General features: G+C 39.1%; 1 protein-coding gene across 6 annotated transcripts in view; it reads right to left on the bottom strand.

Annotated features, from left to right (window-relative positions):
• STYK1 (serine/threonine/tyrosine kinase 1) overlaps positions 1 to 27,178 on the bottom strand; it is a 55,130-nt gene that overhangs the window by 17,009 nt on the left and 10,943 nt on the right. For 4 of the 6 annotated variants that reach the window (XM_047429099.1, NM_018423.3, XM_011520738.3 and 1 more), the window contains exon 2: positions 1,140 to 1,265. The exons of 1 other annotated variant lie outside the window; for it this stretch is intronic. The gene's annotated coding sequence lies outside the window, so the exon portion shown is untranslated. Of the gene's footprint in view, positions 1 to 1,139; positions 1,266 to 4,738; positions 4,804 to 27,178 lie in introns of all 6 variants that reach the window. One more of the 6 variants, XM_011520736.2, reaches the window with a different exon arrangement.

Here is a 27,178-nt window from a genome sequence, read left to right on the forward strand (position 1 = left end):
CTTTAATTCTGATTAACTTGAAAGAAAATATGATTTTCTGCTAAATAAGTCTAAATATGTGATCCAGTTTTGTAGTGACTTGATAAAAACATAAAACAAAAATCAGAAGTATAGCTTATATAATATGCTACTATGTTGTACAGGTGTTACATTAGCCATATTATGCTGTCCTCTATCATTACATTATGCATTGTTTTTAATACTGATACTAATAACCACAGTGTTACTTACTGAGGCAGAATCTCTCAGTGCCTGAAAGACCTATGTAAAGAAGCCTCCCAGATTCTGCCTTACTTGTGTTCCACTCTTCCTGGAGCACCATGAACTTGTATATGGGTTTAATAGTTAAACAATTCCCTTACGACTCAAGAGAAACAAAACTGTGCAGTTGGTTGACAGAAGCTCAGGTAAACAGCCAAGTAGCCAGCGGGCGGAAAATTGGCACAGAAGAGGGAACTTCTTATCCTTATTCTTATTCTTAGAATGGGATCTAAGAAGTTGATGAATAGTTAGATAGCAAAGTCCACTGTATCCAGTGTGTAAACCAAAATGGCAAGGAGAAATGTGGCTGAGAAAGCTTCCACAATTCATGAGGCCACATGGAAGGACTAGCACTAGTGATGAAACTTTCAAAAAACAGACCTTAAGAGAGTGGCACAAAGGAGAAGTTCTGAAAAATAAAACGTTGGATCAGCACGGTGAATTCAGGAAGGCTATTAGAAAAGTGATCACTGCTATTATCATTCTTATTTTCCTTTCCTTTGCCTCCTTTTTAGTGGATTATCAGAAGTAATTGTTTTCATTCAGGGAGCAGCCAGTTTAACCAGTTTGGCTTTCTGAGGAGGAGGTTCTCAGCACACTCTCTCTTACCACAGCACAGGTGGAAAAAAGGGTCAGTCAGCAGCTAGCTCAGACTCATGAGCTCGGCCCAGAAAACAAACTACACACCCACTAATACATACTGAAGGGAGTCGTTTAAAGCCATGTGTACGTGTACCCCCACATGGGCACAGTGAACTGCTCACGGAGGGCCATCCATACTCAACTATAGGCACCTGGCCAAACACACAAATCCCTGATAACTCAAACTCATGCTTATATCCTTACACTAACTATCACACCTATTACAGAGCACTCACCTTTGGATGCAATATGGCCTGCTACTGCATTTCCTGAGCCAGGTTCTCACCATCACTTTTATTTGTACATAAGTAGTTTAAAGAGGCAAGGCTTATTGATATCTTGCAGCCCAGTGAAATTGGATGCTAGAGCAAGGAGATAAATGTATAGAATGATGAGGTCCACCCAATGAAATTGCTTTCCATATGTGTATACAATAAACCCTTTCTAATGGTTACAGTTTATTTAGGTAGAGGCATATGGAGTGTACCAGATGAGTCTAGGATTTTTTTTTTTTTTTTTTTGAGACGGGGTCTCACTCTGTCGCCCAGGCTGGAGTGCAGTGGCGTGATCTCTGCTCACTGCAAGCTCCACCTCCCAGGTTCATGCCATTCTCCTGCCTCAGCCTCCCAAGTAGCTGGGACTACAGGCACCCACCACCACGCACGCCCGGCTAATTTTCTGTATTTTTAGTAGAGAGGGGGTTTCACTGTGTTAGCCAGGATGGTCTCGATCTCCTGACCTCGTGATCCACCTGCCTTGGCCTCCCAAAGTGCTGGGATTACAGGCATGAGCCACTGCGCCTGGCCGAGTCTAGGATTTTTAAGGCATACACACTGGGCATACCCACATATCCATGAAAGCTAATGTGGGAAACCTCACCACACAGAGGCCACCAAAGCTCATACATCAGAGGATGCTTATATTTACTTGTAACAGCAATATTCCTCTCTAGATCACTTTTTAGCTTGAAATTCATACTCAGAAACCACATGGCTTTGCCTGTCCACTCTGTCAAGCTGAGAAAAGGCATGCCTTAATGCCAAAAACCTCTAGGATGACTCTTCGATGGGTTCAACTCTGGCCCACCTGACTACTAGAAGGACACTTCTGGCCAAGATTCCTGTTCAATCTGACCAATACTCCACTCCCTTTCATTATCTCTAAATACTTTTCCCACTATGTCAAAAAATATATGTAGGCTACTGCTTCTTCTCTTAGCTGAACTGTAAAGCATTATCCACAGTTCTCTATTTAATGTTATGAATAATGAAATCCATGGCATTGGAATCAAGGGTCTAGTGAAATTGTAATATATTTCATTCTGATAAATATGTTTGATAGTTGTAAAATATGTTTGTATATACTTTGCCTCTAGTTTACATAATCCTATATCTACAGAGCCAAATCTCTTCAGGCAGGGTTCTAGTTAGAACCATAATATTGCCTCACTTGTAGTTATCATTCCTTAATTTCTCTTATCAGTTGCTTCAGACTTTCTCTTAGCATGTTAAAGGTTTAACTCCCCTCTTTCATTGAGAATCCTGAGAAGAAACAGTGCAATGAAGGAGATACAAAAGGGAGGAGAATGAAAGTGAAATGAGGAGTAAAGTCCATGCTAAATCTTTACAAGACTATAGTCTGAAGACCATAAAAGCTCATGAATATAACTATAACGAAATTGAACTAAATAGTAATATTAATTCTAAACTTTTACACATACAATACAAGCATAGTGTCACACTGCATTTAGGCATCTATTTTAATTCACACTATATTCTATTTGCAACCATAACACAACTCTTAATAAGTGGCATTTCTTTTCAGTTAGCACAATACAGTCTCCCGGACACAATCTGCAATTTACCCATGACTTTCCAGAGTAAACTTTTCTTACCAAAATATACCTAGATATAAGACTTCTAAAATCAGATTTCCTGCACTCTGCCTGCTTATGTGTGATGAAAAATTCCATGATTGAACTCAGTATAACATCTGGCCCTGTTCCAGTAAGGTACAGTTAAATCTGTTGTGCCAGCCTCACCTTCAACCTTACTGCTTGCTTATCAACACATGTGGATCTTCCAGCCATGTTCTTTTTAGATAGACAAGTGATCCACCCTCCCAGGTGGCTGCCACATGGATCAAGGAAGTTATTAATGGCTTTGGGCTATGGGGCAGAGGACTCAAAGACTAAAAGTGAGGAGGGTAAAATATATGGAGGTAGCAGCCCCTAGCCTGAAACAGTCTGCCTTCTTGTATAGTTAGCGTTTCATTCTTACCCTTGAGCTATCTGGAAAAAAAACAAAAACAAAAAACAAAACCAAAACAAACAAAAAACATGTTTAATGGGCTGAATATATTAATTTGGAAGTGAGATAGAGAACAATGCTCAGATCTAGAGAATCTGAGAATTACTTGTTACCAACATCCTATGAAACAAGCTTCCGGTTTTCAGATCTAATAAACCTGTGTTTAGCAACTACAGTGTGCCAGGTATTGTGCTAGGCACTTTCATACAAAGAAGGCAAGGCAGAAACTGAGGGATTAAGTTATGAATTAGTGATTAAGTTATAAATTGGCCACTTTTTTTTTTTTTCTGATGGAGTCTCGCTGTTGTGGGCCCAGGCTGGAGTGCAATGGCGTGATCTCAGCTCACTGCAACCTCCGTCTCCCAGGTTCCAGCAATTCTCCTGCCTCAGCCTCCCAAATAGCTGGGATTACAGGTGCATGCCACCACACCCAGCTAATTTTTGTATTTTTAGTAGAGATGGGTTTTATCATGTTGGCCAGGCTGGTCTCGAACTCCTGACCTCAGGTTATCCACCTGACTTGGCCTCCCAAAGTACTGGGATTACAGGCGTGAGCCACTGTACCCCACCAAATTAGCCACTTTTTAAAAAAAAATGGCAGAGCAAGGTTGCACACCCAGGTCTTTTACTTACAAACCCAATGTTCTTTATACTACTTTGTTGTGCATATATACTTGTCTTTCAAATGAGAAAGACCAACAAGGTCAAGAAGGAATTACATTGGAATCCAAAAGAATCATGGAAACCACAAGGCTGAAACCAAATTTTACTAACATACACTCAATTTGGAAAGAATGGATGAATTGAATCTGCCTGTAAGGGTGTCCATATAGGAACCTCATAGGGACATAGATGACATCTGCATGTCTGTCTTTAAAGTATATTCTGAAAATAGAAGTAGAATCAGAATTTTTTTCCTAGTATTCACCAGATTATGTCATCTTGGGTTGTTTCCTTTGTTCATTTTCCTGGGTCTGATCCCCAATCCTATTTCTATCTTCTGCTTTTTGAGTAAAAAGTCCCGGTTCTTAGGACTAGCCATCTTTCACTGTGAGCATGAGGGTCAGAAAGAGGCCAGAAATTGCAGGGGACAGGGCACTGGCTTAGGAATTAGGGTCTTCATGCTGTCTCTCTCAGTGCCCCAGGCTCTACCGTTCTAGGGAAACAAACCAGTGAGAGGACACAGAGTGCATGGAAGGGCACACTGGAGAGGTGATTCTTTTTAAATCCAGAGAAGCGTATTTGTGTAGATAACTTGCCTTATGCCCTGTGATATCTCCTAGTGTGGGTGAGGCAGGGAGGAGGTTATCTAAGAGAGGTTATCTCGTCCTCTCACTCTTCTCAGATATTGAGAAATTGTGCTTATTTCTGATCTTTGCCCTCCCCCATTTCCTAGAGACCCAGGGATCGAAATGAACACTAGAGAAAGTGTTTCAAATGGGTTCTCAAAGGGGAACCCCTTTCCACCATGGTGCCTAGGAGTCCTGCGCCTGTTTCAACAGATCTTTTGACTCACTGGTACTCACCAAATTATGAAATCTGAGGGCTATCAGTTTTTCTTGCTTCTATTTTTACCTGTCTCCAGAGATTCCTGAAACATATGTGATATACAGTTGAGATGAGGAAGCTTAGTCTATATCCTGGTACCTCACAAAAGTTTACTTTGTAGAGGAGAAAAGTGATTGCAAGACAGGCCCCATAACATCTAGGTAAGAAATGCAGTGCTCACAGATGCTTACAAACAGCATCAGATTTTAAATATGGTTTCGCAGATAAACACATTTTATTTCCTTTGAGGTATTATACAAATTCAAAACAGTTTATTTTTATTATAATTATCTTGCTATTTTGTATGTACCCAATTCCATAATCCTTCATCTACCAGTTTCAAAGAAAAGCCCAGAAATAGCATATCTTAAATTAAATATTCTCCTGCTGATTACGTTCTCTTCCTGAGATTCCTAATCAATAACAATTTTCCCAGCTCCTCAGTTTCCCCAGCTCAGAATAAGGGCTATCAGTGAGAGGGAAAAGCTGAGAACTCACAACGCCACCCCCACTCAGCACAGGATTATCTCTAATCCATCCGTGTCTCCTTTTCCTACCTGATTAATGCACCAGAAGATGGGTTGGGGCTGCTTTCAAATACCTTGTTCCTACTGTTGTCAGTGACCTTGCATTTCCAAGGATCAGTCCTCTTCTTTGGTATTCAGCCTGCTGGGTTTTTCCTTCTAAGAAAGATTTTGGGTTCTCTAAAACTCTCTTGGAAGTCTCCCCCCATAAGTGAGGAGATCTGTTTTGTTTTCTGGCCACTCTTCCAGCCTGTCTAACACACTGCCCTCTGGCAGAGAGGAGGGCCCAAGCTGAGGAGGACTGAAGGAAGACAGGCTACAACAGGCTGTAGGGGCACATATATACATACACACACTTTCTCATTCTCTGATAAATGAGTCCCAGGCCCAGGCAGAGAGATGTGGACATGAGGTTTCACCATCAGAAAGCTAACTCAGCTCCTGTTTACCTCAGTGCTGTGCCATACAGTGTGTCACTATAAAATTTCTATATGTAGAATGTAATTCCAGGTAAACAATAACAAACTCCTGGCGAGAGGAAAAAGACACTTCTGGGAACACATAACCTCCTGCCTCATTCTGTACAGCCAGGATCCAAGGGCAGTTTCCCCTCCCTAGGGAGTGGGTCAGCATGGTTCAGAGCTGAGCAGTCCAGGAATTAAGGGAAGTGGAGTCAGCCCTGACTTAGTGCTGTAATAACAGAGTGAGAGATTGGAAGTTCTAGTTCTGGTTTGGTGGGTGATTCATTCAGCATCCGGAAGCATGTCACCTGACCTTGCCATTCCTTGCCTTCCTAGTTTAGTGAGCAGGAAACGTGCATGTCTCCTAAGGGTAATAAAGAACTGCAGAGAGCAGTAGGAAGTTTATCAACTGGAAAACGGGCATGCCAATCAATAAGTACCCTCAGCCAGTTATGCTACCTCTCCTTGTCCCTGCAAGAGCTCCCAAATTTTGGAGGCTTCCTTTCATCCACATCTTCCTACCCATATCATGGCAGCCCTGGAATCTGATGGATATCTATTCCTACACTTACCCTGCATAGAATTTCCTGTGCTATAATGGTAAGACTTTGGAGTTTGGCTTCCATTTGAATCTCATTCCTATCATTCATGATGACTTTGTATAACGTATTTTAACTTTGTGAAGGTGTTTTCCCATATGTAAAGTGCTGCTGATGATAACTACCTACCAGGGTTGTTGAGAGCTATGCAGCATAATTTCTGTAAAATGCCTAGAACATTACCAGAGCCATTGCGATCATCAATATGTGTTAGTCTCCCTCTTCCTCCCTTCCTTCTTCATCTGCCTTTCCAGTTGGGAAATAGTCACATAGCTGTATCAATCAGGTAAACATGTATAACCAAAAATAACAAAATGAAACAAAAAATCTTTTATCTAAATATTTATAATATTTGTGCATGTAAGTATACTCTATGCACAGAGAGGGAGTTAAAGTAATCAAAAAGTTAATGCAGGATTTAAAACTTTTTATACTTCAACTAGGTGTCATTTGATAGCAGAAATAGTACAGCTGCCAGTAGATATCTGAATTTAACAATCATGTTGAGAAAGAGAGATTTAAACCAGATAAATCAAATAGCATAATGCTGTAAAGTAAGGTACAGAAATGGAAAGAATGCTAGATAGTGGTATGGTATTCATCAGGGAAAATATATCAGCACCTGCCTGATTTCTTCTGTCTCTAAATTTTTCAGCTCCTTGTACTGGTTCCGCTGATATCACTTATATGCTGGCTAATTTCCACCCAGATCCTGAACCAATTCTGACGGGGGCATTACGGAGATCAGCAGTCTCAGTCCTCTTCATCCTATTTATCTTACATACTCTCCAATTTGGGGAAGATGTAGCCTTTATCCACTTCCCCAAATCTGCCCACTTACTCATGCCTATTAACAAAACCCTCTCAAATCTGGAGCCCTCACCTGAATGCCACACAAGTCGATGGGGCCGTGTTGTCCTCTCTTTGCCTAAATCAATCCTAAGTGAGATTGAAATTTTACTTTATACTCTGATTACTGAGCTCTTGCTACTAATATAAAAGCCTCCCAGATAAATGCAACCACAATGGTTGAATGCCTCTTTACTGACCATCATCCTGCTCCACTCTACTTCATTCCTATTTCATTCACACCCCTGAACCCATTACCTTTATGTTCTGCTGGCCACACTGAAAACCTGAGTTGCTAATTCTTGCCTGAATTTTGCTCTGTAACTGAACTGTCCATTCAAGACAGCTCTACTTCTTCCACTTCTACAATCTAGTTAGTTTATCTCACATCATTCCTTGGGGGGCCAGCCTTATACCAAGTCATTCACTCAGATGTTAAATAATTAATCATAAAAATTATTAAATATGTTTTGCTATGAAGGAGAAGTTTAGGGTGCTATAAAAACGGGGCAATAGGAAGGAAGTCAAAAAAAGTTTCTTTAAGTAAACAGTATTTAAGCAAATGATAAGTAGGAGCTGACTAGATAAAGGTGGGCACAGCCACAAGGCAAGAGAGGAGGAATATCCAGGCCTTGGATGGGAACAGAGCTTGATACATTCTCATAACTGGAAGGTCAGTGGGCCTGGACAGTAACAAGAGAGGAGAAAACACGAAGAGATGGCACTGTGCAGGTAGGCGAGAGGCAGATCATAATGAGCCTTTAGGCCATGCTAAACATTGCTTGTTTTATTCTAAGTATCACTGAAGTGCTTTAAATAGAGTGACATGGTCCATTTTGTATTTTAGAAAAAAAAAATTATTTGGAATACTACTTAGCAATAAGAAGGAACAAATTATTCCTACATGCAACACTTAGATGGAACTTAAGGACTTTATGCTGAGTGGAAAAAGCCAGTCTCAAAAGGTTACATGCTGTATGGTTCCATCCGTATAATATTTCCAAAATGGCAAAATTAGAGAGACAGAAAATAGATCAGTGTTTACCAGTAGGAACAGGGAGAAGGTGTGACTTTGAAGGGGTAGCATGAGGGAGTTTCTTTATGGTGACAGACAATTCTGTATCTTGACTGTGGTGAAAATTACATGAGTCTATACATGTGATAAAATATCAAAGAACTATGCACAGAGAGGAAAAAGATAATGTGTGAATGCAAAAACTGAAATCCCAGGAAACTCTACATTCTAGTTCATTATACTGTGCCATTGTCAGTTTCATAATTTGGATAATTTACTACAGTTATTTAGATGTTCCCATTGGGAAAATTGGTAATTGTTACATTGGATTCTATACTATTTTTGCAACTACTTGTGAACCTTTAATCATTTCAAATTGAAAAGTAAAAATGAGTATTAGTTTTGCAGCAATTGAGTAATAAATTGCAGGTGATAATAAATACATACGAGAATATCAATTGTGAAACTAATAATTTCATAATCATTTTTTGGATTACAGTAGTGACAGTAAAAAAAAGAAAAATAATGGATTGGAAACCTTGAGGAGATTGAACCAACAGGACACAGTGGTTGTAGAAGGTAAGAAGGAGAAGGAGAAATCAAAGAAGAGGAGATGATGAGTTGTTCTGGACATTTTGATTTAAGATGCCAGTGTGACTTTTAAGTAGAATATTAGAAAAAAGCATTTGGTTGTACAGTTCTTAGGATTCATAAGGGAAGTCTGGACCAGAGATAAATATTTGGGAGTCATTAGATAATATTGAAAGCTTGAAAGTGAATAAGAGAGAAAGAGGAAAAAATGAACAAAAAGGAAAAAGAGAAGAGAGGAAAAGAGGGCCTAGGAAAGAATCCATGGAGTTCCAACGGATAAGGGCTACATGAAGGAAGAGGAATTGGGGTCCAGGGGGAAACTCAAAGAGGGCCTAAGAAGGAAAAACTAGAGAAGTAAAAGGGGAACCAAGAGTTTGTGCTGTTGTGGAAGCAAAGGAGAGGGGCATGGACAACAGCTGGGCTAAAATCTGATGACAGGTCAGGAAAACAATAAGTAGCAGATACAGGCAACATGGAGGTCACCCATCATAGAAAGAATAGCTATAGTGCAGTGGCCAGAGAGCAGGGTGGTTCTGGGAATGAATAGGTGGTGAGGATGTGGAGAAAATGTGTTTAGGGGGCTCTTCTATGATCTTTGCGACCTATATGAATGAGAGGACTGAAAAGAGGAGTTCAGAGAGAGATTTCACAGTTGATTTCTTTGGAAACTTAGGGCTCCAGCAAGATAAGAAAGGGAACTGGTAATACCCCAACATGCAGTAATCTCTCATTCTAAAAAAAACAAAGCAAAGTTTGGTATGGAGAGGCCTGTATCAGGCATAAATGTTTTACAAAGCCTAAACACACACACCCACACACACTGAAAAACAGAGAGATAGATTAATAGAACACATAAGTATCCCAGAAAAAGAGACACATATTTAGGACTTTAATATAAAGAAGTCAGCAAGAATCAAAATAAGCAGATGAGTGGTTCTCAAACCAGAGAGCACATTAGAATCTCCTAGGAGGCATTTTTAAAAAATATCAATCCTGATGTTCATTTCCCACTTGATATGGTTTGGCTGTGTCTCTACCCAAATCTCATCTTGAATTCCCATATGTTGTGGGAGGGACTCAGTGGGAGGTAATTGAATCATAGGGCCAGGTCTTTCCCATGCTGTTCTCATGATAATGAATAAGTCTCACAAGATCTGATGGCTTTATAAGGGGGAGTTTCCTTGCACAAGTTCTCTCTCTTTGCCTGCCACCATCCACGTAAGATGTGACTTGTTGCTCCTTGCCTTCCACCATGATTGGGAGGCCTCCCTAGTCACTTGGAACCGTAAGTCCATTAAACCTCTTTCTTTTGTAAATTGCCCAGTTTCATGTATGTCTTTATCAGCAGCGTGAAAATGGATTAATACAGTAAATTGGTACCAGGAGTAGGGTGCTACTGAAAAGACAGCCAAAAATGTGGAAGTGATTTTGGAACTGGGTAACAGGGAGAAGTTGGAACAGTTTGGAGGGCTCAGAAGAAGACAGGAAACTGTGGGAAAGTTTGAAATTCCCTAGAGACTTGTTGAATGACTTTGACCAAAAGGCCGATAATGATATGAACAATGAAATCCAGGCTGAAGTGGTCTCAGATGGAGATGAGAAACTTGTTGGGAACCAGAGCAAAAGTGACTCTTGTTATGTTTTAGCAAACAGACTGGTGGCATTTGCCCCTGCCCTAGAGATCTGTAGAACTTTGAACTTGAGGGAGATGATTTAGGGTATCTGACAAAGAAATTTCTCAGAAGCAAAGCATTCAAGAGGTGACTTGGGTGCTGTTAAAGGCATTCAGTTTTATAAGGGAAACAGAGCACAAAAGTTTGGAAAATTTGCAGCCTGACAATGTGATAGAATAGAAAATCCCATTTTCTGAGGAGAAATTCAAGCCAGCTGCAGAAATTTGCATAAGTAACAAGGAGCCAAATGTTAATCACCAAGACAATGAGGAAAATGTCTCCAGGGCATGTCAGAGACCTTTGAGGCAGCCCCTCTGATCACAGGCCCAGAGGTTTAGGAGGATAAAATGGTTTCATGGGCTGGGCCCAGGGTCCCTCTGCTATGTGCAATCTAGGGACTTGGTGCCCTGTGTCCCAGCTGCTCCAGCTGTGACTAAAAGGGCCAAGGTACAGCTTGGGCTGTTGCTTCAGAGAGTGAAAGCCCCAAGCCTTGGCAGCTTCCATGTGGTGTTGAGCCTGTGGGTACACAGAAGTCAAGAATTAAGGCTTGGGAACCTCTGCCTAGATTTCAGAGGCTGTATGGAAATGCCCAGATGCCTATGCAAAAGTTTCCTGCAGGGGCGGGGCCCTCATGGAGAACCTTTGCTAGGGCAGTGCAGAAGGGAAATGTGGGGTCGAGCCCCCACACAATGTCCCTATTGGGGCACCACCTAGTGGAGCTACGAGAAGAGGGTTACCATCCTCCAAAACCCAGAATGGTAGATCCACCAACAGCTTGCACCATGTGCCTGGGAAAGCTGCAGACACTCAACACCAGCCCATGAAAGCAGCCAGGAGTGGGGCTATACCCTGTCAAGCCTCAGCAGCAGAGCTGCCCAAGACCATGGGAACCCCCCTCTGGAATCACCATGACCTGGATGTGAGACATAGAGTCAAAGATCATTTTGGAGCTTTAAGATTTGACTGGTCTGCTGGATTTCAGACTTGTATGGGGCCTGTATCCCCTTTGTTTTGGCCAATTTCTCCCTGTGGAACAGCTGTATTTACACAATGTCTATATCCCCATTGTATCTAAGAAATAACTAACTTGCTTTTGATTTTACAGGCTTACAGGTGGAAGTGACTTGCTTTGTCTCAGATGAGATGTTGAACTGTGGACTTTTGAGTTAATGCTGAAATGAGTTAAGATTTTGGGGGACGGTTGGGAAGGCAATATTGGTTTTGAAATGTGAAGACATGAGATTCGGGAAGGGCCAGGAGTAAAATGATATGTTTTGGCTGTGTCCCCACCCAAATCTTATCTTGAATTCCCATGTGTTGTGGGAGGGACAAAGTGGGAGGTAATTGAAACATGGGGGCAGGTCTTTCCTGTGCTTGTGAGAGTGAATAAGTCTCACGAGATCTGATGGTTTTATAAAGGGGAGTTTCCCTGCACAAGACAGTTCTCTCTCTTTGCCTGCCATCATTCACATAAGATGTGACTTGCTCTGCCTTGTCTTCTGCCATGATTGTAAGGCCTCCCCAGCCACTCAGAACTGTAAGTCCATTAAACCTCTTTCTTTTGTAAATTGCCCAGTCTCAGGTATGTCTTTATCAGCAGCATAAAAACGGACTAATACACCACTCCTCTTAGAGATTATGATGATTATAAACCCCATAGATTATGACTTCAGATATCAGCTTCAATCAAGGAAATGCTTCCCAGGAGATACTAACATACAGCTGGGGTTGAGAAGTACTAAGATAGATTATTCATCAAATGGAATTTAGGCAATGGACTACTTGTTTGATAACAAAAATTATATTTTTGATTCACCTGTACACAAAATAAATTTTGGGAAAAAAGCTAGATGCTTTAAGAGACATAAAAAACTTAACATTATAAATTATATTGGGTTTGTGATAACTTCCTAAGCTTAAACAAAAAACTTTCTTCCAACAGAAAAAAAAATCACAATGGAAACATCAATCAATAAACAAATAAAAACATAGTACTTTTATAGTAATGAGAAAACCACTAATATGCCAATAAATAAATAGTCAAAAACGTGAAAAACAAAAGTAAATGAGTTCACTGAAACAAAATGTTTAACAAATATGGAAGCATGTTGAACTAAGATGAAAGATTTTTATCTTAACTAGTAATTTTAAAAATACTTTAAAATAAAACAAGATACATTTTTTGCCAATCCATTTAAGACAAAATATTATTTATTTATTTATTTATTTATTTTTAAATTTTTTGAGCTGGGGTCTCACTCTGTTGTCCAGGCTAGAGTGCAGTGATGTGATCTTGGCTCACTGCAGACTTGATCTCCCGGGTGGCTAATTTTTAATTTTTTTGTAAAGATGGGGCCTTGCCATGTTGCCCAGGCTGATGTAAAATTCCTGGCTTTGAGTGATCCTCCCACCCTCAGCCTCCCAAAGTGCTGAGGTTATAAGTGTGAGCCACCACACCCAGCAGAAAAGAAGATTTGAAAACTAATGTTTATTCCCTAAATAGTTTTATTTAAAAATGACTCTTGTAAGACTGACAAGGAATCTGAATGTCTACATTTATGAAAAATAACTTGGCACTATGAAAATTGAGAGCCTGAATGGCATTCATAATTTTGACTCTGTAATTTCTCTCCCAAATGTCAATTATATGTATGTTTTTTAAAAATGGAAGATGTTTCTGAACACACAAGAAAATCTGTGACCCTTATTTAATTTTTTTGAAAATATAAATAGGGATTTGCTTCAAAATATAATTCATGGACTTGAAGGAGGAGAAATAGGTGGAGATGTAAATAAAAAAAAATCAACCATGTGTTCAAAATTGCCAAATTCAGGGGATATACATGGGAAGTCATTGTACTATTTTTGCTGCTTTTGTACATATTTGAAATTTTCTGGAAAAAAATTAAAAATAGAAAAAATAACTAATTTTCATCAAAAGGAGGGATGTTTCAAATTATTTTTATACAGTTGGACCATGGAATACTACACATTTATTAAATTTACGTTCACAAAAATGTTTAATAAACAGCAATTTGTAATGTTAGTGGGTTAAGTAAAAAGGCACATTTTAATGAGGTATATATGGCAAGAGTACAATGAAATTGACTGGGAAAAACACCTGTGTAGGGGAAGCCCAAAGAAAAATATATTAGAATGTTACAGCAACAGTGATGATGGTTACTATTAATAATTTTTTCCTCTATTTTCTATTTTCCAAATGGAATGAATTAAGCCTTAGTTATTTTATAATAAGAACATGCAAAGGAAGAAAGGCTACAAGGCAGAAAAGTTTGATAGCAGAAATACAAAAGAAAATTGGCTGATGGTAACAAAAAAAGACCAAGAGGGAAAACAATCTTCCTAAAGAACTAGTGTTTAGAATTAAAGACAAAGTACAACCGTTAAATCAAGATTAATGGCTTCAGGCCGGGAGCAGTGGTTCACGCCGGTAATCCCAGCACTTTGGGAGGTTGAGGCGGGCGGATCGCGAGGTCAGGAGATCGAGACCATCCTGGCTAACATGGTGAAACCCCGTCTCTACTAAAAAATACAAAAAAATTAGCCAGGCGTGGTGGCGGGCCCCTGTAGTCCCAGCTACTCGGGAGGCGGAGGCAGGAGAATGGCATCAACCCAAGGCGGAGCTTGCAGTGAGCCGAGATCGCACCACTGCACTCCAGCCTGGGCAACTGAGGGAGAGAGAGAGACTCTGTCTCAAAAAAAAAAAAAAAAAAAAAAAAAAAAATCTTGAGTTTAACAAGCTTCATTGTTGCTTGCTAAAGGCATTATCTTGCCGACCTGGGAGAAAGCCAAGTTGGGACTCCCAGGAACAAAGTTAATGTATCATCTCCATCCAACTGTAGTAAAGGAGAAAGAATAAAAGAACCAGTGTCAGAGTTAGGGGTGGATTTATCTTAATCTATTGAAGCCTTGGTTTACTAACCTATACAGCTGAGATAATTCTGCCTGCTTACATCAGAGGATTCTAGTGAGAATTAATAAGAAAGTAAAATTGTTCTTCAGTGATAGTAGCTAAAAGTGCCTCTTCTAGCAAGAATTTATTTGTATAACATAATTACTTTTCAAATCAGTGGTTCCAACTTTGTGCTCCTGATCAAGCTTCCCTTTTTGATTACTACTGCCCCACCCCAGTGGTCTGAAGAGAGTGTGGCTTTCCTTCAACGCATTAGCATAAATGTAGCTAAAATTTCTTTCTTCTTAGCACAGACACAATAAAATGAGAGTTGCCCAAAGACTTGCTAAATGTTAAGTAAATTTGGGAAACCAATTCAGTGAACTGAAAGTGCAGGAGCAGGGCCGGGCGCAGTGGCTCACCCCTGTAATTCCAGTACTTTGGGAGGCGGAGGCAGGCGGATGACCTGAGGTTAGGAGTTCGAGACCAGCCTGGCCAACATGGCAGAACCCCGTCTCTACTAAAAAAAAATACAAGAATTAGCCGGGCGTGGTGGCACACACCTGTAGTCTCAGCTACTCAGGAGGCTGAGGCAGGAGAATCACTTGAACCCGGGAGGCGGAGGTTGCAGTGAGCCAAGATCGTGCCACTGCACTCCAGCCTGGGTGACAGAGCGAGACTCCTTCTCAAAAAAAAAAAAAAAAAAGTGTGGGAGCAGTGTGTGTGCAAGTGTGGTTTTGGGTGTGTGAGGTGTGTATGCAGGGGTGTGTATTTTCCTAAGTTGAAGTTTGCAATTCTACTGCAGCTAGCTTGTTATCTTAAGAGGACCACGCTGGAGCCCAACAGCCTCCTGCCTTGGTCCTGCACTTTTCCTGCTCTAAACTTGTATGCATGAGCGAAATGCTGGGCTCACTCACTTCTTTCCTTATGGTCTTTTATATCTGCCATGATAAAGGCATATTTATTATTCAGACTCCTAGGTTTCAGCTCAGTTTCCAGTTTTCTTACAAGTCTCAGAAGCATAGCCCAGCCCGTTTCTGAAATCCAGTATACCCACCTCTCCTACTGTTATAATTAGTTTTGTACTCTTAAGCAAATTACTTAATCTCTCCTAATGCTCAGTTTTCTCATCTGTAAATTGGGTTTGCAATATTATCTAACACAAAGAGCCATTGTAATAATTAAACAATTTTACATGATAATGCACTTAGAACAACACCTAGTACATAGTAAGCAGTAGCTGTTACTAATTATTCCTATGATAGCTATAATAATAAGAATATTCCTATAATAATTACTATATCATTATTATAATTCCTCAAATTATGACATTGTTGAACGACCTCACCTTGTGGGTAAGAACTTCATTCTATGTAACATCAATATGATAACATAATACCACTCGCATTTCTGTATATTCCACAGGAATAAGATAATTATTTCCTGACACCTGACTTTACAGAAAATCTTACTTATGCTTCAGTACAGTTTTCTTACCATCCTTCTGCAATGTATCTACTTTTTTAAGTCTTAAATTGTCAATTGTTCTATTCTTTTTTTTTGTAAATTGCTTCATAGTTTTCAAATTTAAAAGGTCATAGGCATATTAAAGTGGATGCAGCAGATTTTGTACTATTCTTTTCCTAGGCTCTAACAACGAAGACTTAAGCCAGTGGTTCTACTTGAGGAGCTTTTTAAAAATCCCATTGTCTGAGATGTATCTCAAACCAATTAAATCAGAATCAGACTCTGGGAATAGGAACCAGGTATTGAGATTTATGTAAAACTCCTAAGATAATTCCAATATGCAGCCAAGTTTGGGAACCCCGCCTTAAACTCTTGTTATCTCCTTTTCTTAATTAATCCGGAGAAAATTCACCAGACTCTAATTTATTAGATAAGATTCTACATTGGCAGCCACTATTCTAGTTCTCTCTCTCTCTCACACACATTCTTTCTCTCCCCCTCCTCCCTTCATTCATTTCTCCCTCATTTGTATGTAATCTTCAGCAAGTTAGATCACTTCCCTGGGTTTTAATTCCTAATCTGTAAAATAACGGGTCATAGAATTGCGCAATGTAATCAGAGATGTTTTGACAGCACAAATGAGATAAAACATATGAAAGTACTTTAAAGTTTTAGAATACAAGTATTTCAGAAATCCAAGGAAGAATTATCATATTCCCCACATCCTTCCCTCTCCTGTCATGTAGACAGGCGCAAGGCCATCTCTTCTGAAGTACCCTTGCTTCCTGAAGTAAAGCTTTTCTATGCTGAATAACTTGAGGATCTGTTAAATCCTTCAGGCTTTGGTATTTCTTTCACAGACTTTCAAGCCAACTTTACTCAAGGCCGTATCATTTGTTGACCACACTTTTTATCTTGTCTTAGATCACTACTTATAGTTCTTAGAAAGAAAAAGGTTAACGAGTCTAAGGAGAGGTAATATGAGATGCACTCTGGAAAAAATCTAAGATAAATGAACTTTAGAATAATGCTATATTTGCACCAATATAGTCTCCAGTACGATGAGGTCCTGACAGTAATCTTCACTTTGGCTTCAACTTCCCTCCGCTCTGAAATTCATCTTGTTTTCCTCACCTAAATTATTTCTCAATGGAAAGTTCTAGGAGAAATGCTTGGTGAAAAGGAAGAAACTTCTCCTGAAATAGGGAAAGGAGTCAGGAGATCTCAATTATGACACTGGGTCAATGACTTCCTGTGTGACCTTTGGCAAGTCAATTAACATATCTTTTCTTTCTTTTTTTTTTTGTGAGACGGAGTCTCACTCTGTTGCCCAGGCTGGAGTGCAGTGGCGTGATATCGGCTTACTGCAAGCTCCGCCTCCTGGGTTCACGCAATTCTCCTGCCTCAGCCTCCCGAGTAGCTGGGACTACAGGTGCCCACCACCATGCCCAGCTAATTTTTTTTTGTATTTTTTAGTAGGGACGGGGTTTCACCATGTTAGCCAGGATGGTCTCGACCTTGGCCTCCCAAAGTGCTGGGATTACAGGCATGATCCACCATGCCTGGCCCAATTAACATACCTTTTCTAGAGAGTTGCATGTAAAGTATTTGAGATGTATAACAATCAGTACAAATACAAGATCTTATGATTATTTATTGATACCTCATGAGGAGTACCCAAGAAAGTAGAACTATAATGAAACTAAGATATATAAAATATATTTACATATGAGAATTCAGAAGTGTAAAACCTGAGAAAAGGTGGATAAGAGTTTTTCTCTATCATTTTAAGCAAGAAATTTAATACCTTATATCATTTCCTCAAAATCCAGTCCTTCCAGTCCCTTTAGTACAATCTGTACATCCTGTATGTTGACAGAAAGAGTCAGAGCTACAGGAACATCAAGAAGTGTAGATGTGCTCCGACTGATACAGAAAGCAGTTTAAAGCAAAGGTATATGAATATTGCTAGCAATACCTGCTACCCTCATGGATTCTTGACTTGTCCTGGGAACAAAAACGTGGCACTGCATTAATGTTTAAAGACTGGCCTTGTTGGAGGCATTTGAACCAGAGCAGCTCCATCTTGAACAGGGGCTTGGTAAAACAAGGTTGAGATCTACTAGGTTGCATTCCCAGGAGGTTAGGCATTCTTAGTTATAGGATGAAACAGGAGGTCAACACAAGATACAGGTCACAATGGCCTTGTTGATAAAACAGAATGAAGTAAAGAAGCCAGCCAAAACCCACCTAAACCAAGATGGCCATGAAAGTGACCTCTGGTCATCCTCACTGCTCATTATACACTAATTATAATGCATTAGCATGCTAAGAGACACTCCCACCAGTGTCCTGACAGTTTACAAATGCCACAGAAACATCTGTAAGTTACCCTATGTGGTCTAAAAAAGGGTGGAACCTTCACTTCCCAACCCTTTCCCAGAAAACTCATGAATAATCTACCCCTTGTTTAGCATATAATCAAGAAATAACTAAGTATACTCAGTCAAGTAGCCCACACTGCTGCTCTGCCTGTGGAGTAGCCATTCCTTTTTTCCTTTACTTTCTTAGTAAATGTGCTTTCACTTTACTCTATGGAGTCACCCTGAATTATTTCTTTAGCAATATCCAAGAACCCTCTCTTGGGGTCTGGATTGGGACCCCTTTCCAATAACATCTTCCTGGAAACCATGAAGGGACTATACTGAGGAGAATCCTATGGACCCAAAGGAAATAGACCACAGCACTGCCAATTGGCAGACTTTAGGTAAGGGGCGGGGTATGTTTTGCCCAGGTAAAGGATCAGATTGGGTTAGAGGTCCAACTTAGGAGAGTCTCTCCTAAGACAGAGAGGGTTAAGGCCCCTCCTAATAAAAGGCAAGGATGCTTAATGAAACTTGAGTTTGAGGCCCAATTTAGAAAGGTTAGAGTCCTTCCTAAGATTTAGGGATTAGAGGCCCCTCTCAGTAAAGTCCTTCTTGGTTAAAAGTGGATTTGACACTATGGGATGTTAACTGCTATTCTCTTTGGATTAATCTGCCTTGCACTCTTTGCTGACAGATATGGATGACAGGAATAGGCATGTACAGGATCACCAGACACGGGGAGCTTTTTTCTCCCCAAAGTGGGAAACTTGAGAGCTGACTGGACTGCTAGAAAAGATCCTTCACTACCTAGTCTCTCTGAGCTCCTTGCCTTCCCCACCCCACTGTAGGCAACACTTTTATCCCTTCCCTTTCCTCCCTCTCTGTACAAACCAGTTGTAGGAATGGTAGAAATCACTCTCTTGCAACGTTTTAATTAATGAATAAAAGGATTCATGAGGCTAGTCTTAATGCTGTAGTGAATCTGGTGTATTTTGTGCTTTGAATTTGTCTTTCTGTGTTATTCTGTCATAAAGGGGAGGTACCTTGGGATAGAACACAGGCTTGGGACTCCATAAGCTAGATAGGGTTTCTCTCTCATCTTGTTTTATATCCTTGGGAGCTTGACCTTGTAACCATGTGGCAGTACTTTCTCTTAGTTTCTGCCATCCAGAGGACAGCAATTTTGGAGTTTATGACAAAGTTAGCTCTAAAAATTGTTTTGAGCAGTTAAAAGCCTTCATTGGCTCAAAATTGTCTGCTCCAGGCTCTTTCTGAGAAGGCAATGGAAACTTCCCAATGCTGTAGCTTAGTAGCTAAGGCTTTGCCTTTTCACAATGGCATCCCTGGTTCAGCGTTCAATTTCTGGTTTAGGGAATGAGTACTTTCAGGTTGATATTGGTGTGATCTTTGCCATTTGTTGATTTTATCCCCTCCCCCCATGAACAACTTCTATCTTCCCTTCTTGAATCTTCCTTTCTCTGAGGCACCTTGTAGACTCTAAATCTTGTAAAAACTGCTAATCATCTCTTTTAAAATACTGGTACACTTGTGATTAAGTCATAACCTTAGTGAAAGCTTACTGGTTTCATCTGGGAGGTTACCTTTGGTAAAGCTTAAAAGCCAGAAAAATGGATTGTGTGGCCTGGCTGAAGTCAGGTAATAAGAGATTTAAAAGCATTTTTGAAGTGCTATGGTTAAAAGTCAGCTTTAATTAAAAGAAGATATATGAGCTATACGTATATTTAAAAGGTTTTTATGTTTTTTCTCTTCTTGGATCTTATTTCTCTGAGGAAAAAGTTTTTTTCTTCTCAGTTGACTAAATTGTTGATAGGGTTTGGCTATGTCCCCACCCAAATCTCATCTTGTAGCTCCCATAATTCCCATGTGTTGTGGAAGGGACACAGTGGGAAATAACTGAATTATGGGGGCAGATCTTCACCATGCTGTTCTTGTGATACTGAATAAGTCTCGTGAGACCTGATAGTTTTAAAAGTGGGAGTTTCCCTGCACAAGCTCTCTCTCTTTGCCTGTCGCCCACAGGCAAAAGACATGGCTTTCTCCTCCTTTTTGCCTCCCACAATGATTGTGAGGCCTCCCCAGCCACGTGGAATTGTAAGTCCATTAAAGCTTTTCTTTTGTAAATTGTCCAGTCTCAGGTATGTCTTTATCAGCAGCATGAAAATGGATGAATACAGGGCTGAGTGCGGTGGCTCACACCTGTAATCCCAGCACTTTGGGAGGCTGAGGCAGGTGGATCACGAGGTCAGGAGATAGAGACCATCCTGGCTAATATGGTGAAACCCTGTCTCCACTAAAATACAAAAAATTAGCTGGGCATGGTGGTGGGCACCTGTAGTCCCAGCTACTTGGGAGGCTGAGGCAGGAGAATGGCATGAACCTGGGAGGCGGAGCTTGCAGTGAGCCGAGATCACGTCACTGCACTCCAGCCTGGGCGATAGAGTGAGACTCCATCTCAAAAAAAACAAAAAACAAAAAACAAAAAAACAAGGGATTAATACAATTGTTTTTCTCCGTTTTATCTTCTTGCCACTCTTGATACACATGAGGGGATCTAAGATAATTTCTAACAGCTTGAGACTCCTTGGGAAAAACAGAGGAGTTGCCACAGATCCTGTTTTGGAAAAAAGCCTCTGTTTTCCTTATGAAACCACTAGAATTGAAAGGGGATAAATAAATCCCTCTCAAAATCTAATGCTTTGTTTCATTTTGTATTGTGTTATCTGACAGTTTTGACTTTTGTGGGTATCAGAAATTACTTCTTATTATGAGAGAGCTTTGGTTTGTAATAACTAGGTAGGAAACATACTTTTAGGGATGGCTAATGGAAGTTATGGGGGATACTTAACTCTTTGCATGTTTGGATCAGAGAAGCATACTCTTGACCACCTGGAAGATACTGGAAGTGTCCCCATTGCCACACTGAGAGATAAGAGTTCCATAGGAGGTGGGCTGATTTCCTCTTTTTTGGGATCCAAGATCTGGTATAAAAATGGGACCCTTAAATTTTTGAAATCTGTTTTGCCTTCCAGCTGTGCCTGCCTATTAGGCTCTAGAAATTGCATGCTTTCCTGGCCCTGTTCCTCAAAGGGCTCCTCCCTGAAGCCAGTAATTCAATTAAGAAACTTAAAAATTGGCAAATGAAAAATCTTACAACTACTGGATCTTCTGTCTGTTGTGTAGTCATATGTGTTGTATGTGTAACATTTATATATGAAAGAGCTCTGATTAATTGGTTTAAAAATAATAAGCACTTAAATATTTTGTCAGAAAAATAAAAACTGTAATGCTTTTTAGTTCATGTGACTTTAGGAAGCTTTGGGAAATAAAGACAGTTTTAAAGATTATTGGTAAAATAAAAATGTCTTCCAAATTTAGACATTTGGTCTAAATTAGGCAGATCAGATAATTAGATTTGCTAAATACTTTAAGGTCATAAACTGCTTATTTGACTTTTGAAAATTGTTTGGTATACCTGCTTTAGAGCCATTAGATTCTAGATAAGTCCTGGGGATATGTAGAATTAGACATGCCCCCTGGCAATGCTGGAAAGAATCAGACCTTATCTTGTACTTCTCTCTGGTGTCCTAGGCTTCACACCTAGTACCTAATTAAAATCACTTACTTACCAGGTTTTGCACCAAAAATAAAAGTTGCTAAGAGTTAACATTGTAACATATAATTGAGACTACTGGAAAAACAGTTTTAACATGCAAGGTGTGTAAGGAAAGTGAAATGTGTTTTTGGTAAAAGATTATAAGAAGGCATGGGAATGTGAATTTTTTTTAGCCTAGTTTAGAAGGCTAAGGGGTTCTAAGTTAAGTTATCCTCACTTAAAAGTTAGGATGAAGCTGAAAATTTGAGCAAATTGTGGAAGATTTGTGAAAAATTAATCTTGTGAAGGAAATTCTGTGTGAACATATCGGCTAAAGTTAAAGGGGTCTTATTCAGTTTTTCTGTAAATTGAACATTGGAATAAAAGCACAACAGGGTGTTCTTAGAGCAGTGATCTGCTCCTTAACAAAAATTTGTAAAGAGTTTAAAAAGGTTTATGGGAATCTTACCTCTTGGTCTAACTGCTTACGATTGAATAGATTTGTCTATAATGTTTTATTAAGAATTGGGATTGACATTAACAGTACACTGTAAAATCTGGCTTTCTCTCTTGAATAAGATTTTTGTGTAATATTTTTAAAAACGAAATTTTGTTTGCCTTTTGAATAAACTATAAGAAAAAGAAAGGAAGGAAAAGAGACATTGTGTGGAAAGCTGTCTTCCCTCTATTAATGAGTAAAGTTTTTTGTCTTTTTAAAATTTTTGAGTTATCGTTTTGGCTAAATGAATGACTTACGGTGACCTGAGATTCTATGTTTCTAATAATCAAGTGGTTAAACCTTCAATATTTGACAAACTTTCCAAAATCAAATGGTAAATTATGTCTTTTTCTGACCTAATTAATCTTTTCGTATTAGGTCCCCTAAAGTCCAGAAGAGACATATTTGGCTTAATGTGGTATAAAAATCTGTAGAAATCATACAGGAAGCATTATAAAATATAAAATTGTGTTTGGCTTTCTTTGGGCTGTATTTGAATAAATATGTTCTTGGTTATGTGTCCCAAAATTATGGGAAACTCCTATAATTCTAATATGACTTAGTATGTTATTAGTAATTATAATTGTTACATAATATTATTGTGTGCCACAGAGGTAACCATATTTCCTTGTTAATCATGTCTGACTGTGGCTGCCCTAAGACTTTCTGTCATTCACAGACAACTGTTGTCTTGTTTTGATCCTCTTTTAAAGGTGCCTTATAGTCAGTAACAGGATTTGACAGGTGCTCTTGAATGCAGGTTTCTGATAACTTTGGAGATTGTGACATTAGGATAGAGGCGAAAACTTTCATGATTCTCACGGAGAGCTGAAATGTTCATGAATATCAAACAGAACAGGAGTTAACTGCATGGACTGAACTAATGAAAGACTGAAATAATCCTTTTATGACTTTTTGCTTAAAACATTGCTAATTCTTTGCTTTGTTTTTCAGAGTCAAGAACATTTTTGAGTTATCTGTAGCTTGTGGCAATACTCCTGTAAACAAAATTTTAGAGCATATTTCTCTCTATCTGATTTCTCCAGAATTTGGAAACTATTTGTGAGTATGCTTAACTTACGGAATATAGTTATTTGCATAATTGCAAAAAGAATGCTTTCTTTTGCAACAGGACACAACTGGATAAACTGTTTTTATTACCAAGTCTTTGACTGAAATAGAGTGCTTTCCTTTGAGGAATCAAACTTGACTTACAGAGTCAATAAAAGCTCCTTAGGAAAACTGGCCTCATACCTTGTCTATGTAGTCCCTGTACAGGGTTCCTGTAAGTGAAGAATGTCATTTTCTGATGGGCCCAGGAGGCAAGTTATCTTGTGACCTCAAGAGGAGGAGAATTTATCCAACTCCTAGGTATTTTATGGTACAAAACCATGGCTGAGCTCAAGGAGTTTTTTAAAAGTCTTATCTGAAATTACTTATGGAATAAAGTTTCATCAGAGCTAATTTAAAAAGAACCTATGTGAAAAATAATTATTCTTGCTGAACTTCATATAAATAATCAGGCCAAGTATAATAGTAAAGCTTATTTTTGCAAACAAATCAGTTCTATTATGATTTGTCTTTAGTAAAAATGAGGAGATAGAAAAATTGTGTTTCAAGAACTATGGTACACCTGTTGTTAGATTCTAGTCCCATCAGTTTTTAGTTTTTTTCTGCAATTTAGACTGACCCTGCTTATTCCTGTAAATCAACCAGTGATCTCTGACTGCAGCTCAGAAGAAACAAGATGGATGGGTAATATAAAGATCTGGATCAGTATTCTAATTCTGGGCAAGTACTGGAATCAGTTAGTGACCACATATCATCTTGGTTCTAACAGTTGCCCACTTCACAAAAAGCCTTGTTAGTTTACTTAGGATAGTTTTGCTTATTTTGCTCTACTCTTGCAGAATATATTGCTTTGTACCCTTTGTGTAGGAATGCAGTATAAGCTTACTGAATGTTTTCTTAAATTGAACACTTATTAATCTTCCAGATATTACCTTTTGTGGGAAATCAAGAGTTATGAATGGCCCTCTCCATACTGATACTTTCTGACCAAGCTTCTCTCTACCCTGAATACAAAAAACACTAATAGTTAGGTATCAATATCATTGCCACTATTCAGCTAGAAGAAGTTACAGAAGATGGATCGTCATCCCTCTACAACCCTTAGGATTAAGGGTCCCCTTGTAAAGGGGAGGAGGGAAATATGTTAGAGGCATTTGAACCAAGGCAGCTCCATCTTGAATAGCAACTGGGTAAAATGAGGCTGAGACCTACTGGGCTGCATTCCCAGGAGGTTAGGCATTCTTAGTTACAGAGTGAGATGGGAGGTCAGCCCAAGATACAGGTCACAGTGACATTTCTGATAAAACAGAATGTGGCAAAGAAGCAAGCCAAAACCCACCTAAACCAAGATGGCCACAAAAGTGACCTCTGGTCATCCTCATTGCTCATTATACACTAATTATAATGTATTAGCGTGCTAAGAGACACTGCCACCAGTGTCATGACAGTTTACAAATGCCATGGCAACATCAGGAAGTTACCCTATATGGTCTAAAAAGAGGAGAAACCCTCCGTTCTGGGATTTGCCCATCCCTTTCCCTGAAAACTCATGAACAGTCCACTGCTTGTTTAGCATATAATCAATAAATAACTATAAATATACTCAGTCAAGTAACCCACACCGCTGCTCTGCCTATTCCTTTCTTAGTAAGCTTACTTTCACTCTACTCTATGGACTAGCCCTGAATTCTTTCTTGAGTGAAGTCCAAGAACCTTCTGCTGGGGGTCTGAATTGGGACCCCTTTCTGGTAACAGTCTGACCTTTACTTTTTGAAATGAAATAATAAAAACGTCTCAAGAAAAAAGTAATCTTCAAATCAGAACAGGAGGAGAAACATCATGAGTTTACGATCAAAATTCCAGAGGAAAATCCTGAAAAGTTTTTGCCTAATTTTTATTTACATTAAACAACAAATATATATTAAGTGCTGTTAACCATTCCTTGCTACTCCTCCATATGTCCCCTCTAACATAATTTTGGGCCTTTTCCCAGGACCCAAGTAAGATGGCAAAATTTAGATGTTATATTCTTGATCCGTGTCATCTCTTCCTCCTCTTGCACAAAACCCAGACTCTTCACACATCTGCATGGAGCACAGTCCAGCCAATAAACCAAGTGAAGCAATCTGCTTTGGAATCCACCCTGCTCTGCTATTCCTTAACTGATATTTGTCTTTAACACAAACTTCCTTGATACTGGTTTTGATTCCCACTATTACCTAGTACAGTTTATGGCACCGGTTATAACAGCAAACATTTATATAGTGGTAGTCATGTGTTAGGCACTCTTCCAAGCACTTCACAAATATTTAGTCATTTAATTCTACCAGATGACGAAACTGGGGCACAGAGAGAGGTTAAGTAAGTTGCTCCAGATCACACAGCTAGTAAGCAGTGAAGATGGATTCCAACCCAGATCATTTGGCTTAAAAATCTGTCCTATACTGTTTGTCCAGTAAATTCTCAAAAACTAGTATTTTTTTGCAAAATTAGAATTACCTTTAATATTACTTGTGTTTTATAAATTGAGATATAATTCATATACCATAAAATTTACCTTTTTAAAGTGTGCAATTTAGTGGTTTTATTATAGTCACAAAAGTATGCAACCATCACCACTACCTTATTTTAGAATATTTCCGTTACCCCAGAAAGAAACCCCTACCCAATAGCAATCATTCCCTACTCTGCTCCCTTCCCTAGCCCCTGGCAATCATGAATTATTTTCTGTCTTTATGGATTCACCTATTCAGGACATTTCATATAAATTGACTCATACAGTATGTGGACTTTTGTATCTGGCTGGCTTCTTTTACTTGCAAATGTTTTCAAGGATTATCCATGTTGTAGCATGAATGAGAACTTCGTTCCTTTTTGAGGCTAAATAATATTGCATTGTATGGATATACACAGATTCTGTTTTAGCCATTTATCAGTGGGTGGGCATTTGGATAGTTTTCACTTTTTCACATTTATAAAAAATGCTGCTGTGGATACTCACATACAAGTTTCTGTGTGGACATGTTTACTTTTTCCTTGGTATATATGTAGGAGTGAAATTGCTGATATGGTAACTCTATGTTTAAATTTTGAGGAACTGACAACTGTGTTTTAAAGTGAGTGCATCACTTTATACTCCCACCAGTAATTTATAAGGAATCCAGTGTCTCCACATCCTTGACAAACACTTCTTGCTTTTTGTCTTTTTTACTGTAGCCCAACTAGTTGGTATGAAATGATATCTCACTGTGGTTTTGATTTGCATTTCCCTGATGATAAATAATGCTGAACATCTTTTCATGTGCTCATTGGCCACTTGTATATCTTCTTTGAAGAAATGTACATTCAAATCCTTTACCATTTTTTTTTGATTGGGCAATTTGTCTTTTTATTGTGTAAGTACCCAGTATATAGTCCAGAAACTAAACCCTTATTAGATATATCATATGCAATATTTTCTTCCATTCTGTATGTTGTCTTTTCACTTTTGATAATGTCCTTTGAAGCATAATAGTTTCTAATTTTGACAGTTTTGTGTTTGATTGCTAGTGCTTTTGACGTGTGTCTAAGAAACCATTGCCCAACCAATATCACAAAGATTTACACTTAGGTTTTTCCTAAGAATTTCATAGTTTTAGTTCTTATATTCAGGACTTTGGTTCATTTTGAATTAGAGGTAAATGTCCAACTTCATTCTTTTGCACGTGAATATCCAATTGTCCCAGCATAATTTGTTAAAGACAATCTTTTTCTGCTCTTTATTATGATTAAAGATAG

The sequence above is a fragment of the Homo sapiens genome, chromosome 12, assembly GCF_000001405.40.
Source record: "Homo sapiens chromosome 12, GRCh38.p14 Primary Assembly".
NCBI classification, from domain to species: Eukaryota; Metazoa; Chordata; class Mammalia; order Primates; family Hominidae; genus Homo; species Homo sapiens.